We start from the raw sequence: 15,142 nt of genomic DNA, 5'->3' as shown, positions 1-15,142 counted from the left end.
GGCCCAGCACATGTCAGAAATTCCTGCTATACCAGATGACTTTGCCAAAATCTTTGTCCTTTTTTTCACTTAGGGTGAAAAAAAAAATTGATGACCCGTGTTTTGCTACCACTGACGAGAGTAATACCTTGTCCCAAAGCTAAAACGATCAACCTATGAAAACTGGAGGGTTGGGCTTTTGTTGTTGTTGTTAAAGGCCTGAATGAGGTGATATCTTAATGCTTACAGCTGAGAAGCAGGTCAGTCAGGTTCCTGGGCGCTCTGTTACACAAGCAAGATACAGCCAGCCCCACCTAATTTTGTTTCCCTGGCACCCTCCTGCTCAGTGCGACATTGTCACACTTAACCCATCTGTTTTCTCTAATGCACGACAGATTCCTTTCAGACAGGACAACTGTGATATTTCAGTTCCTGATTGTAAATACCTCCTAAGCCTGAAGGTAAGTGTGCGTTGGGTCACTTAGGTCTCTCGCTTTCTCTCTTTCACTCTCTACTCTCTCTCTTCCTTGATTATTTACCAAAGAGAATCGCAGTGGTCTCAACTTTGACAGAACAGCCTGGCAAGTAGCTACGGCAATCCTTGCAGAGACAAGTAGTTGTTTTATTAAGTAATGACCTTCCAAATGAGTATTTGCACTCCTAAATGAGTTAGCTTTAAAAATTACTGCCAAATTTGCTAGATTACAGAACCAGCAGAAGAGTTAAATAAAAGCCTTATTTAAAACATACGTGACTATGAAATAGAATTTTCTTAAGTCAGATCTTAGTAAAGGTTTCAAAATGTTTAAAGTGGAAGTGGCAGCATGAATATAAATTGAATCTTAGATTTAAATTATGCATTTGTGCTGAAAGGTTTTTGCTTTAAGTATTAGAGGTTTTTGCTTTAAGTATTAGAATAGTTTTGGAAAAAATCTTCTAATAAAATAGATTAGAAGCTTCTATAAATCTTTTTCAAAGATTTTCTTAATTAAAAAGTTGGGAAACTGTTGTACAGTACATATAATTATTTAGCATGATATGTGTACATGTCTAACTTTCACTGGAAATCTAAAAGGTTACATCAGTTACTACAGAAAACATCCTATGAAATGAAAATGTGGTAAAATTTCTTAAAATTATTTTCATTTTGTGGCTATATAAGCCTCTTTTTTTATTAAAAGGATGCTGATTTCCATTTATCTACTTTCTATTTAGTCTGTAGAGGCTGCTCCTATAGACATTACAGTATGATACAGAAGGCTGGAAACCCTATGCTTGAAAATTTTGATCTAGAACTTTCCTTTCGGAGAAACTTTCTTTCTTTCTAAGCTTGACACTCATCACTAATTAGTTAAGTACTGAATTTTATGACTGAAAACTCCCAAGGTAGCAGGTCATATGACAAACTCTACATTTTTCCTGTAGTTACATAGCCTAAGTCTTTTAGCCAGAATAATGTTCTCAAACTTCTGAAATTTGTTTTTTTCTTGAAAGAAAGCCAGTCTTTTCTTTTTTATTTTTTCTTTCTTTTTACATCACATAAAAGTAAAATGAGAGGCCTAAGTTTCTCAGTCACAATCCTTTTTCTAGTTGGTTACGCTTCCAAAACCCTCTCATAAAAGAGGCATTTTTAGAAGGATGTCTTATGTCCTCATTTATTGTTGCTCTTGAATTTAGGAAACTAAAAATACTGTCCAACATTGGAAAAAGTCACTCAGAGTAACACTCAAGTTCTTCCTGAGATGTTAGCTACATAGCAGACAGAGTTTTCTTTGAGAGACAAACAAAACCCATCTGTCTTAATTTGTAGCCTAACATCTGTGAGAAGAAATGATCAAACACAACTTGGAGAAAAGGCAGCCCAATGTATAGTCGTCAGTGATTTTACTATAGAAACATGTTTTTATATTATGCCTGCAGTATACCTGAACTGATGATTCTATTTAGAATTTCTGATTTTGATTCTGTTTAGAATGAGTAGCATTTCTTTGCCCTTATATGGGTTAATTACCTGACATAAACCAGGACATCTCCTTATTTCCAAAGCTTGGTATAAAATAAGTATGACCCACGATTTCAACAGAGAGCCTGGACAGAATAATGACTTTATGCATTTAAAAGGAAGCAAAAATATGGACAGTGAATGTGGGTTTGCTTCCCTTACTGGCCAGAGGTGTTTTTTGTTTTTGTTTTTTCTCATCACTTTCTGCAGCCCTCCATACAAAAGTAATAATGTGAAACCACTTTCCAGTGCCAGTAACAAAGAAGGCGAAAGTCGTGTTCATTCTCCCTCTGTAGAGGAGTTGTTCTAAAACAGTGACACTATGAAAATATATTTTAAAACTAGTTAAATTTTAAAACAAAAAAAATGTTAATATATACAGGAAAGTTTAGAATCTGTATTTAAGGTATCACAAAGGAACTGGAAATCCTCCTTTCTTTCTCTGTTCACTTTATAGTAATTCTACCTTTAGAAGGTTTTCGAGTTTGTGATGATCCTAAACCTCTATTTTATAACTTCAAAATTTCTCTTAGGAGCTACCACCCAGATGCAAAAAGAGGCAAAGATCAGGAGGTGAAATCATTACTGGGTTCTCCTGATTTCTCTCCCTCTGCAATTCTACTTTTCTTTCATCCCACCTTCTGTCTGCCCCCACAGTGCACCTGGCTGACAGATGAACTTGGGTGCACTCAGGGATACCATCCATAATCCATCATCATTTCAGCTTTATAAAGCAAGTATATAACATAGAGTTAGATATTTGAACTCCAGAGATGGAGAGAGGCTAAAAGGAAAGCACACACGAAAGTAAAACATATATAGATTTCATTTGTTGCCCTCTGGAGTTGCTGTCCCACCTCCATTAGGCTTCTGTCACTTGCAATGTGCTTTGTTCAGTTGGCATGAGGTCAAACTTCGGCCAAATCTCCTGGACCTTACTCCAGCAAAATTTCATGGTGGGGTTCTGAATAACGGATGACTTCAATTCCTGGCTGCTTCTACGACTTTAAGATGAAAGGAACCTGAGTAAGTGGCGTAACCTGGCTCTCCTAGAAGCCAGGCAGCAGAGGCAAACTTGTCCCTACTGCAATGTCAGGACAATCCGTCTTCACAAAAGCCTTATCTGTAGTGTATAAATTTCTGAATAAACCATAAATATTTAATAGTATTCACAACATACTGAACTACCCCTCTCTTCCATTTCTCTCCTTTTCCTGGGAGATAAATTATAGGCAGTAACAGAGTGCTTCGCACGTTTGGGGGTGTTGATACCCTAGGTTTTCAAGTTACAATCAAAAGCTGGGTAAAGGAATGAGAGATCCCCTTGGTGGTTCAATGTCACAGGCAAGGTGAAACAGGAACAACAGAATTCACTTTATTGACTCTTGATGTGTAGATTTTCATTACAGGCAGGTAATGAAAGCTCAATGCCATGTCTCTCACATAATATTATAAGAAAAATAGAAGAACAGCTAAGGACATTTTTCCCCCCACTGGTGACCACTTTATTAGGAAGAGAAAAATAGCAAAACAACTAGATATAGAGAAAATAAATCGAATGCCATAATAATGCTGAAAATAGTGGCTAAGTACAATTGACAAATTAGATCACATGCCGTAGATAATGAAAAGGAGCATTATGTTTGCTGTGAACTTTGCAGAGTTCACAGGAGAGAGATGTTTCTGAAAAGGTACACATAACTATTTTTAAACTAAACTGAATTATATTTTAAACACACTAGGTGAGGCATCAATTTAAGTAAATATTGGTCAACTACAGGTGCCAGAGATAATCATTCATGCTTTGTAAATGCTAATCTGTAAACTTCATGGTAAAGATGTCCATCTAGAAACCATAATAGACAGTTATCGTGATTTTCTTAAATTACAGCAAAAGCATATTTAGTGTATTTAATGGGTCCTTTGAAGATAGAAAGACTTATATTATCAGTGTTTTGTAAAAATGGGATTATAAACTGCTCTGGTTAAAATAATTAAATTTGGAGAGGCTGTATTAAAAAAAAAAACTATGGTAGGAAGAAGTTCTAAAAAGCAGCTGTGTACCAAATTCTATATTCCTTTGCAACTTATGTTACAAACATGAATACTGACTAGCTTTAAATCAGACATGTCAAGGTTTGAATCCAAATCCGATCTCTCAGTTACTAGCTGTGTGTCCTTGGACACATTACTTACATTATTTATGTCCCACTTAATCATCTGTAAAGTGGGATTAATAAGCCCTTCTTCACCATTTGTTTATTTTTGGTTAGCATTAAATGGAAAATATGTAAAGCAGCTGATATATCAAATGCATAATAGTAATATACTTTCCAATTATGTTAAACATTTTTAGAACAATCTGAATTTCTTAGTTGTCACAGAAAAGTGAATGAAATATCAATAAGCAGAATGATCACAAATACAAACACCTATGTAATCACAATCAGGTTGAGAAATAGAGTATCACCAGCACACAACCTCCTTCCATGCTCCACCCAATCAATTCTGTTTACTTCCAGTAATAAAGCCCTTTCCCAATCGTATCATTGTAGCTTTTTGCCTGTTTTTGAACTTTATATACATGAAATCACACAATACAACTGGTGTTTCAAGCAGTGCATTATGTTTGTGATAATCATCCATGTCGTTGCATACAGCTCTAGCCTGTCAATTTTCACTATCTGAATATACCACAGTTTATTATCCAATCTGTTACTAATGAACACTTAGGTTTGAGGCTCTTATAAATAATGCCGCTATGAATGTTCTCATATGTCTGCCAGCTTTTATTTTTAAGTAGATTTTTCTTAAGTGATAACCATAGGGCATGGAAGATACAATATGTCTAAAATTCTAGAAGTATATGATTATGCAATTGCTTGCTAAAAGCTTTTGAAGAGAAGTATCAGATTTTGAAGATAACTAACATATATTATAGATATATTTACGTTGTACCACATGTGAGAAATTATTATGTAAGAGAGGACTTGCTATTTAAAATCAACACATAACTAGTGGGAGTGTTTAGAAGCTCTGTAGACCCTAATGAAAAATCAACAAGGCTGAAAATATTTGTAAAAATTTCAGAGAGCTGTTGAGAAATGGCACACAATACAAGAACTAAGTAACAGCACTTGTACCTCCTCCCTTTTCCTCTCTCAGTCAGCATGGAGGCTTTCAGTGAAAAATAAGGTTCAATTCAAAAACATGAAATCAGTACTCAGATTTTATTGCTTGAGGAAAAAAAAGTCTATTTTTTTAAAGTAAATTTTCCATTAAAAGCACTGCAAATTTTAGCCTCTAATGAGATTGGAGTCAGTTGACTTGGCTTTAAATATTGCCTCTTCCATTTTCCAGCTTCTGTTACTAGCCATTGTGAGCTTCAGTTTCTTCATCTGCAAAATGGGCATAATACAATCTATTCTTGCCACATCAAGGGATTGTTGTAAGTATCAAATAAGATGATACTGTAAACTTTGTAACCAAAAAGACACTATAGATATATTATTATATTTGAATATTAAATGGAGGTTAGCATCTATTAAGTGTTTACTTTAGGCTAGATCTTGTTTAGAGTGCTGCTACCTAAGTCAGCCCATTCAGTCTTCAGAACAACACTCTGAAGTTAATTATAATGATGATAAAGCAACTGCTTATTATGGTGATTATTTTTCATGAGTTATTTGTGTCAGAAGCCAGAATTTTAATATAAATCTGATTTCAAAACATTTTCCTATATCACCCTATTTATGAATTGTGGCACTTCCACACTTAAGAGGCGGAATGATGTGCCTGGATTGGAGATCAGGACCCAATCTGCAATTATCTAGCTTATTTTCCCACACACACCCCAACCATATTCTTCTTTTATAAAATAAGAGAGTAAGATTAAAGAATATCCTTAAATCTAGAAGGCTTCTGAATCTCCCCAGTTTGGGATTAAGTAGCAAGAAGGACATCATGAAATGAAAAGTATTGTGGAAAAGGGATACATTCAAATTCATGAGTTATTTCATGACTAGTATTAATTCAAACTAGATACTAATAAAATGTATTCAAGGGTATTCCTGACTGACTCACTTTAAAAAAATCTAATATATGGTGCATTTAATGTATAGTCAGTAATGTCATTTTCATAATAAATATTTCAAATGACATCTTTATAAAGAATGCGTTTTCTTAAATAGATTGAAGAAATCAGCCAGCTCTACATGGTCTATATTTACAATATTTTTAAAATGTTATTTAACAGTTCATATACATGTTTTAAATATACGTGTATGTGTGAGTGGGTGGGTTTTTATGGTTTTCTTCCACCTTTTCCCAAGCTAAATGGTCTTTGAAATAGCAGTGTGTGGCTTGAGGAAGTTTTTGCATGGCATTTCCCTAGAAGCAAGGAAGGAAGAAAGATTACGTGGAAAGCAGTACTCAATGGCACTAATTTAAGTACATAATCCAAAATAAGCAATTTTGGAATAAAAATATGATATTACCATCTCTATATTATGTCTAGATTTTTATCACTTTAAAATATATAGATCCATTTAAAAACTCAGAGTATTTTATTTAAGGAATTCAAATTATGGTTATTTTCTTTCAGATTCCTTTAAAAAAAAACCAATACCAAAGAAGCCTACAATGTTGGCCTTAGCCAAAATTCTGTTGATTTCAACGTTGTTTTATTCACTTCTATCGGGGAGCCATGGAAAAGAAAATCAAGACATAAACACAACACAGAACATTGCAGAAGTTTTTAAAACAATGGAAAATAAACCTATTTCTTTGGAAAGTGAAGCAAACTTAAACTCAGATAAAGAAAATATAACCACCTCAAATCTCAAGGCGAGTCATTCCCCTCCTTTGAATCTACCCAACAACAGCCACGGAATAACAGATTTCTCCAGTAACTCATCAGCAGAGCATTCTTTGGGCAGTCTAAAACCCACATCTACCATTTCCACAAGCCCTCCCTTGATCCATAGCTTTGTTTCTAAAGTGCCTTGGAATGCACCTATAGCAGATGAAGATCTTTTGCCCATCTCAGCACATCCCAATGCTACACCTGCTCTGTCTTCAGAAAACTTCACTTGGTCTTTGGTCAATGACACCGTGAAAACTCCTGATAACAGTTCCATTACAGTTAGCATCCTCTCTTCAGAACCAACTTCTCCATCTGTGACCCCCTTGATAGTGGAACCAAGTGGATGGCTTACCACAAACAGTGATAGCTTCACTGGGTTTACCCCTTATCAAGAAAAAACAACTCTACAGCCTACCTTAAAATTCACCAATAATTCAAAACTCTTTCCAAATACGTCAGATCCCCAAAAAGGTAAATATAAATGATTTTAACTTTCCTTTTGTGTGAAACTGAAATTCCAAATAAGTCATGCAGAGTAAGTCTAAGGAATCACCATGCTGGAAAAACAGAAGAGAACACAATAGCATGGATTTTCTCACTTTTGAGGGATGATCATTATAGTCACTAGAAATAGTGAAGTGGTTTTAGGGCTTCAATGAACATATACTAGTCATTTCTCTTTGGGAGTGTAAGGAGACAATGGGACAAAATGTGAAGTTAGGTTAGGTCAAGAAAAGATGGAGACTGAAGCAATGGTACAGCTTTGAGATACTAGGTAACAATTTTCAATGAATCTTGAAAAGACTACCTGAAATTTCACATGCTCATGTGAATACTATACAACTGAACTTATATATATATATATATATATATATATATATATATATATATATATATATATATGTGTGTGTGTGTGTGTGTGTGTGTGTGTGTGTGTGTGTGTATATATATGAGTATATATATATGAGTTTTTAAAAAGTTGAACAAAGTAATGAATTTATAAATTATCTGTCACAATCACAAACAATTTATTATGTGGACATTTTTATGTTTCATTTAAGGATTATGTCAATCTTTTCCATTTGAAACATAAAAATTGTTTTACATTTTTCCATAAAATGAAAAAAAATAACTAAGTTTTAATAATTCATTCTTGTTTTGTTTTTTGAGGTCTAATGTATTTTCCCCCCTTGAAATTTTTTTAATAATTTGTTTTCCTCCAAGAACTCACTTCCAGTGTGGTTTACTTAAGGATTATATTAGTAATGTAAAAAACAAATCATATATACAAATTCCTGTTTGAATGTTGTTGCCAGTGTGTAGGAAAAGTTTTAAATTCTGAAATATAGGCTTTTTATAATACCACTATCAATATATTGTATATGTACATTTAACTATGATTTTAACATATCTTGTCATTTTTAAAAATGCTTCCTCTCTTTTGTCTATCTAAACCTAATATACATATTGAGAATACTGAGTACTTACTCTTACCATTGCTATTTTATGTAAAAAAAAATTTAGTTAGCTTACTTCTCTTTTAGTAACAAGTTTACTGTACTCTAACATGAAAATTAATTTTTTTAGAAATGAGATTTTATATAGAATCAGAGACCCTGCAAGACCCTTTGCCTACCTAATTAATGAGTCCTTCAAAAAAAGAGAAGAAAAAAAGAGAAATGTACTAAATTTCAGTTCAGAGAACATTTAGTTTATTGAAAATTTAGTCTTCAAATAAGATACCGAGTGAAAAGAATAATACAGTGAAATTTTGAACTCCCGTAAGCTCAGGCCTAGACAACTGTTCTTGATATGCAAGGCACTGAAGTTATCTTGCCTTGGTTTATTTGTGGTGTTTGGAAATACCTTCTATCAGGATACACTGATTTTTCCTTGTAGTGACTTCTTATTTGTTTATGGTGGACTCATTTTCTATTACCCACTTACTCCTATTGGCTTTTAACCTTTGAATTATTTACAGAAACAAGTGCAAAATTCATTTCATCATTAAAGTTCAACACTGATATTAGATCTTAATGGAGTATGCACATGGCATTTCAGTGCCACTGATGTTAATAAGAACAAGACACAAGACACGGCTATAGAGCTAAGACTTAGAAGTATTTCAATGTAATTAAAAATTAGAAGTGTGGTTTTATCAACAAATACGTTTGCCCATATATCCCAAATAGTACTTTACAAGACACACACACACACACACACACACACACACACACACAGAGAGAGAAACACACCATTATCTAATTTTAAAATGTTAAACATTCTTTGTTATATGGAAAGTTCACATGCATAGAGTTCGGTTCTTTGAATAATTATTTTATATTTCTTTAAATTTTTTTTGTCCTGTAGAAAATAGAAATACAGGAATAGTATTCGGGGCCATTTTAGGTGCTATTCTGGGTGTCTCATTGCTTACTCTTGTGGGCTACTTGTTGTGTGGAAAAAGGAAAACGGATTCATTTTCCCATCGGCGACTTTATGACGACAGAAATGAACCAGGTAAAATCTATTTTCAATACTTCACCTGGGCACAGTGGTTTTAATTAAATGAGGATGCCAATGTTCACTGCATTGCCTAGAAGGTAATTCCAAAAGAATTCATATGAATGAACAAACTAAAGACTTATTCTGATCCACCTTCTGTTTATCAAAGAACAAAACCAAAATAATTATAGACCTGTGACTGAAATTTAAAAAACATTTGAACTGTTGCTCACTGCATCAAAATTGGTTTTAAATAATAATCCAAGAATCTAAACATATGTATAAAATTGGAAGATAATGAATGGTAGGACATTCAGAAAAAATGACCAGTTTTGTTAGCAAGTGACGGCAAAGCTATTCCTTGCCATTGTTAGATCATTAAGTAGCAGTAATTTGAACAAAGATTGATTCTAATTTGGAGCTCTTTTAAAGTTTATACAGACACAGCAGCCCTCCATTAACCATCTTAATGAGGCTCTAAAACAAAGCATCTAAAAGTTGCATATTTGCACACACAGTCACATTGTACCTTAATTCAGGAATTTTCCACTCATATGATGGAAAAAGCCAACCATAATATCTATGAATGAGAAATATGTATACTAAAAATAAAGTTGTCAGTTTGTGCTTTAATAATATAATATCAATTTGATATTTGTTTTATTGCTTGGTTCATCTGCAGTTTTATACTTCAGGGAAAAAAATATGTGTTTTCTGGTTTGCACAAGGGATTCTTGTCACCATAACAAATAATTAAATGCTTCTGGTGGGTCCCATTGATGAAGTCTTACTGAATTTGAGTTTTGATGAGTTCAGATATAACTGATATATTTCTCATATTCAGAACCAAATCTGTAAATTATAAATGTAACTGAATTCTGATTATGGGTTTCTAGGAACTAATACAAAACAAAAAGTACCATTCTTCAAAAATTAAAGGATAGGATTTATAACGGTGGTTTTCAACCATTTTTTAACCTTTGAATCTTGTCTTTACATGTAATCTCATGTAAAAACTCAATCTATCAAAAATTGATACAATCTAAACTGCTGTGATAGAGGCATAAAAGAATAACTCAATCCACAACAACTGTTTTATCCATCAAAGACAGCTTTGAGACACCTCTCCCAAAGACCTAAGGTTCCTGGGAGCCCAATTTGTAAACAGATGGCTACAGGAATAAGTAGATAAGCAAATGATGATACCTAAGTGAATAGTTTACTGATATAATTAATAATTAGTTACTGCTTGTAGTACTTTAAGATACCAAGAGCATGTCCAGTTTTGCTTTGAAAATGAATTCAAGATCTTTAGGAAATAATGACTATTTGTTTTAAAAGAAAACTAAATTTCCACATCAACAATCAGAAAACCTCAAGTGCATGATAACTTGAATCGATCAGAAGAAAACATAAGCTCCCACAAATACTTTTTTTATCTCCTCCACCTTAAATGGTTTAGCCATCAAGATACTGTGATATTTGGTAAAATAATAACATTAATTTAAAAATTATTGACTTCACTTAAAAAAATTTTACACCAGAAGTGACAAATTCTGAACATGTTGACAAGGCTTTGAAATCACAAGATTCAAAAGTCAATGAGGTATGGTCTACACTTCTTTATGCAAGGTATTGATATACTATACTGGTCTCTTCTTTAGTTCCTTTACTTTGAGTCCATCAACAGTAAAATTTTGGAAGTAAAACTGTACTCTTAGTCTTATAAAAAATGAAGCTTGAAAAACATCTACTTATTTAAAATTTTAAAACTAAAATCTAAAAAGCCCATATAAAAATATATTTATTTTCTCATCTAGAATAATTCCTATAACTTGGTGGATGCCTGAACATGAATCTTTCAGAGTATCACTGTGAAACAGTATTATTTTGTTACTTTTTTAGTTCTGCGATTAGACAATGCACCGGAACCTTATGATGTGAGTTTTGGGAATTCTAGCTACTACAATCCAACTTTGAATGATTCAGCCATGCCAGAAAGTGAAGAAAATGCACGTGATGGCATTCCTATGGATGACATACCTCCACTTCGTACTTCTGTATAGAACTAACAGCAAAAAGGCGTTAAACAGCAAGTGTCATCTACATCCTAGCCTTTTGACAAATTCATCTTTCAAAAGGTTACACAAAATTACTGTCACGTGGATTTTGTCAAGGAGAATCATAAAAGCAGGAGACCAGTAGCAGAAATGTAGACAGGATGTATCATCCAAAGGTTTTCTTTCTTACAATTTTTGGCCATCCTGAGGCATTTACTAAGTAGCCTTAATTTGTATTTTAGTAGTATTTTCTTAGTAGAAAATATTTGTGGAATCAGATAAAACTAAAAGATTTCACCATTACAGCCCTGCCTCATAACTAAATAATAAAAATTATTCCACCAAAAAATTCTAAAACAATGAAGATGACTCTTTACTGCTCTGCCTGAAGCCCTAGTACCATAATTCAAGATTGCATTTTCTTAAATGAAAATTGAAAGGGTGCTTTTTAAAGAAAATTTGACTTAAAGCTAAAAAGAGGACATAGCCCAGAGTTTCTGTTATTGGGAAATTGAGGCAATAGAAATGACAGACCTGTATTCTAGTACGTTATAATTTTCTAGATCAGCACACACATGATCAGCCCACTGAGTTATGAAGCTGACAATGACTGCATTCAACGGGGCCATGGCAGGAAAGCTGACCCTACCCAGGAAAGTAATAGCTTCTTTAAAAGTCTTCAAAGGTTTTGGGAATTTTAACTTGTCTTAATATATCTTAGGCTTCAATTATTTGGGTGCCTTAAAAACTCAATGAGAATCATGGTAAAAAAAAAAAGTTAACCAAAGAATATACCTGTACATAATTTGTACAGTTTTAAGTTGTTAGATAGGAACTGGATTTCTTATGTATTAGACATTATTGCTCAATCATAATGGAATAGATTCTGCATCCCTAAATGTATGAACCATAAGGTTAAAAAAGATGAATGGAAATATCAAACAACTTTTTACTGAGCATCAGTTTCATAATCAATAATATAAGAAGATTAATTTGGATTCTAGTATGTTTCAGTTTGTTTTTAATTACCACCTTCCTTTGGTAGAAAAAATATGTTCCTTGATGTAGGAAAGTCTAGGTTTTAGAGATTAGAGGATGAGATCAAGAGTTAAATTCCTAAAGAAGCACTGAATATATGAAGAGAGCAAACAAATCAAGTACCAACCTAGAGGCTTTATTTTTGAATTGATTCATGGTGTGTGTGTGTGTGTGTGTGTGTGTGTGTGTGTGTGTGTAACACAGAAACAGCTTCAGAAAATAAGGGATAGAAAGTAATGAAGAAAGTACTTACCCCATATTGCCATAAAAATAGCAAAGAAGACTGTCCCTCCATTATCGAACAAATATGTCACCTGAGTAGAAAACAAACAGAAATATTAGTCATGCAAATTGATTATAATAAGCCAGTGAATACTGTTTGCACTCAGGTACTATGATTTTTTCTCAAATAGAATCATATTATTTTATAGTACAGAAATATTATATATGAATTCCTTTCATGGGTCTTGCAACAATTTCACATGATTTTTCTCATGGGGAGAGGTGAAGAAACAACATTAGCCCTCTTCTCTCCTCTCTTGATTCCCTTTATACCCCACCATCATTTCTGATTATAAATAATTCTACCATTCTATGGAAGTATTTGTGGGTCACAGATTGTCAAACTACTTAATGAAAGTTGTATGAAATTAGTTTTTCAGGTGAGGCATTCCTAGTTGCAATTCCTGTTAGCAAAACTTCTAGGAGTGGGGAAGTTGGAAAATGCAGGATTCTTCCAGTGAGCCAGCATTTCCCATAGCTAACCCTATTCTCTTAGTCTTTCAAAATGTAGAATGGGTCCAATAATGGCTATAAGATGTAATAAATCCCATCTTAATTTGTTTTAAAAGTTTCATAAATCACTGAACACTTATGAAACAAAGTGTTTTTTAATCAGATATCAACTGAAACTTCATAAAGGATGCATAGTTTTATAATGTTATTGAATCAAATTTTAAGGCTTGTATTGTTTGATTTTAATAAAGTATAAATTCAATTTACCTTTGCTTGTTTGCATTTGCATAATGCCCTCAGTATATATGTAACTTAGTGAGAGAAATTAAACTAACACAGTGAAGGCAAAAAATGTCTGGCCAGCACAAAAATTCCATAGAAACGATAGAGAAAATAGGGCATTGTCCTCACAGGAGGGTGAGGACAATCATGGGTTAAAGAACAGTATTATAAGGAAAGTTGGAATGGAATGGTGTCCTCCTTGTTCAATCTGACATCCAGAGGGTGCTCAATGGGAGCATTAAAACAACAGTAATACGTATTTCAGTTGTAACATCTGGAACACACTGCAAAATATATGTAAAGCAAGTCATCATAAAATGTATTTTCCTATAATGTGGCATTATTGATAATATCATCATAGAAAAGATGCGCTCCCTTTGAAGGTTGGTGGATAGGTGCAAAATGTCCCATATGGCTCTAAAATTCATTGTTGGTTAAGGCACGGTATTTCTAAAAATTAATATAAAAATCGGTTTTCAAAACAATCATCAGTGTACATTTATATCAGGAGAGAAAAGGATCATAAAGAAATTCTCCCACAGAGCTCATAAAATTATACCCAGCAGGGAGTCAAGAATTTTTGTTTCTCAAGACGTCCCACAGAGACACCTGAGGCTGCTGAACAGCTGAACAGCTGTCTGTTTTCCTTTGTAAACCAACATCATACAGGAAACAGTCTCTTAGAGTGTTAGAACAGACTTTACACATGGGGATTTAAAGGTCACCAAGAAATAATGGCCCTTCCCCGCTCTAGAAATAACCATGCTTTTAGAAAAGTGGCAAATAAAAAGCCATCCTTAGTAGCAATTGTGTTGCATGAACTTATCATAGTTTGTGTAGTATTTTCCTTTAAAGTGCTTCTCATTTTTTTTCTTACTAGGTTTGCTAACAAATCTTTCAGGCATTTTAAGTCAATAAATTTAAACATTAATAGTTTAGGAACATCTTCCTGAGATAAAGTTGGAGTACATGTAATATTCTTGTAATGTGGGATTATATACATCTAATGGGAGATAAAGCTAGAAGGAGCATTAGAGAAGACTTCAGAACTTGCTCTAAGGAAGAGTACGACAGTGTTTAATCATGTGTTAGATTTACCAAGCTATTACACATGGGATGTATTATGACGTGGGAGATCATAGAGACAACAAGAACAGTTCGAGGTCTGTGGTTATAGCTTGAGATGTTCAGGGCTTTATTTAGGGTGCTGACATATGAGCTGCTGAATGAAAATGGGAAAAAGAATGAAGGAAGAGTCAAGCTTACTGTGAATGGCTCAAGCTTAGATCATGGGTGATTGACAGAAGAATTAAGTGATAACTGGCCTTCTGTCTAATAGGACAAGAGCACTTGTTATACTGAAGAAACTCCAGATGAAATATTGAGAAAATTCCATAAGCAGCATAGCAGATTTTTCTAAAAGCAAAAAGAATCTTGTCCTACACATATAATTAAATATGTAATACATTAAATTATTTTATTAGAAAAACAGCTTGCCTTTATGAATAGAGGGACCCATGGCAAGCATTTTGTTCAACTTTTTTTTTTTTTTTTTGAGACAGAGTCTCGCTCTGTTGCCCAGGCTGGAGAGCAGTGGTGTGATCTCGGCTCACTGTAAGCTCTGTTTCCTGGGTTCACGCCATTCTCCTGCCTCAGCCTCCCGAGTAGCTGGGACTA

General features: G+C 33.8%; 2 protein-coding genes across 9 annotated transcripts in view; one reads left to right on the top strand and one right to left on the bottom strand.

Moving 5' to 3' along the window:
- The window catches only part of ANO3 (anoctamin 3), a 474,482-nt gene that overhangs the window by 90,809 nt on the left and 368,531 nt on the right, over positions 1–15,142 (bottom strand). For all 6 annotated transcript variants that reach the window (NM_001313726.2, NM_031418.4, XM_047427399.1 and 3 more), the window contains one exon: positions 12,702–12,762. In NM_001313726.2, coding sequence (NP_001300655.1) covers positions 12,702–12,762 — 61 coding nt within the window. The remainder of the gene's footprint in view (positions 1–12,701; positions 12,763–15,142) is intronic.
- On the top strand, positions 218–13,449 carry MUC15 (mucin 15, cell surface associated). 3 transcript variants are annotated; one of them, NM_001135091.2, is made up of 5 exons: positions 218–440; positions 5,342–5,429; positions 6,585–7,316; positions 9,216–9,365; positions 11,256–13,449. In NM_001135091.2, exons 2-5 carry the CDS (start codon positions 5,387–5,389, stop codon positions 11,414–11,416), a joined length of 1,086 nt encoding a protein of 361 aa, NP_001128563.1. In that variant the 5' UTR covers positions 218–440; positions 5,342–5,386; the 3' UTR covers positions 11,417–13,449. The 3 variants fall into 3 exon arrangements, with proteins under 3 accessions (NP_001128563.1, NP_663625.2, NP_001128564.1); NM_145650.4 differs by lacking the exon at positions 5,342–5,429; NM_001135092.2 differs by lacking the exon at positions 9,216–9,365.

The sequence above is a fragment of the Homo sapiens genome, chromosome 11 (assembly GCF_000001405.40).
Source record: "Homo sapiens chromosome 11, GRCh38.p14 Primary Assembly".
NCBI classification, from domain to species: Eukaryota; Metazoa; Chordata; class Mammalia; order Primates; family Hominidae; genus Homo; species Homo sapiens.
The sequence above is the reverse complement of the archived record's forward strand: the minus strand, read 5'-3'. Positions and strand labels throughout refer to the sequence as shown.

Coding starts and splice junctions, on each gene's coding strand:
- MUC15 (NM_001135091.2), top strand. CDS start 5,387: ATGGGCATAATACAATCTATTCTTGCCACATCAAGGGATTGTT. Junction 7,317..9,215: donor TACGTCAGATCCCCAAAAAG/GTAAATATAAAT, acceptor TTTGTCCTGTAG/AAAATAGAAATACAGGAATA. Junction 9,366..11,255: donor TGACGACAGAAATGAACCAG/GTAAAATCTATT, acceptor TTACTTTTTTAG/TTCTGCGATTAGACAATGCA.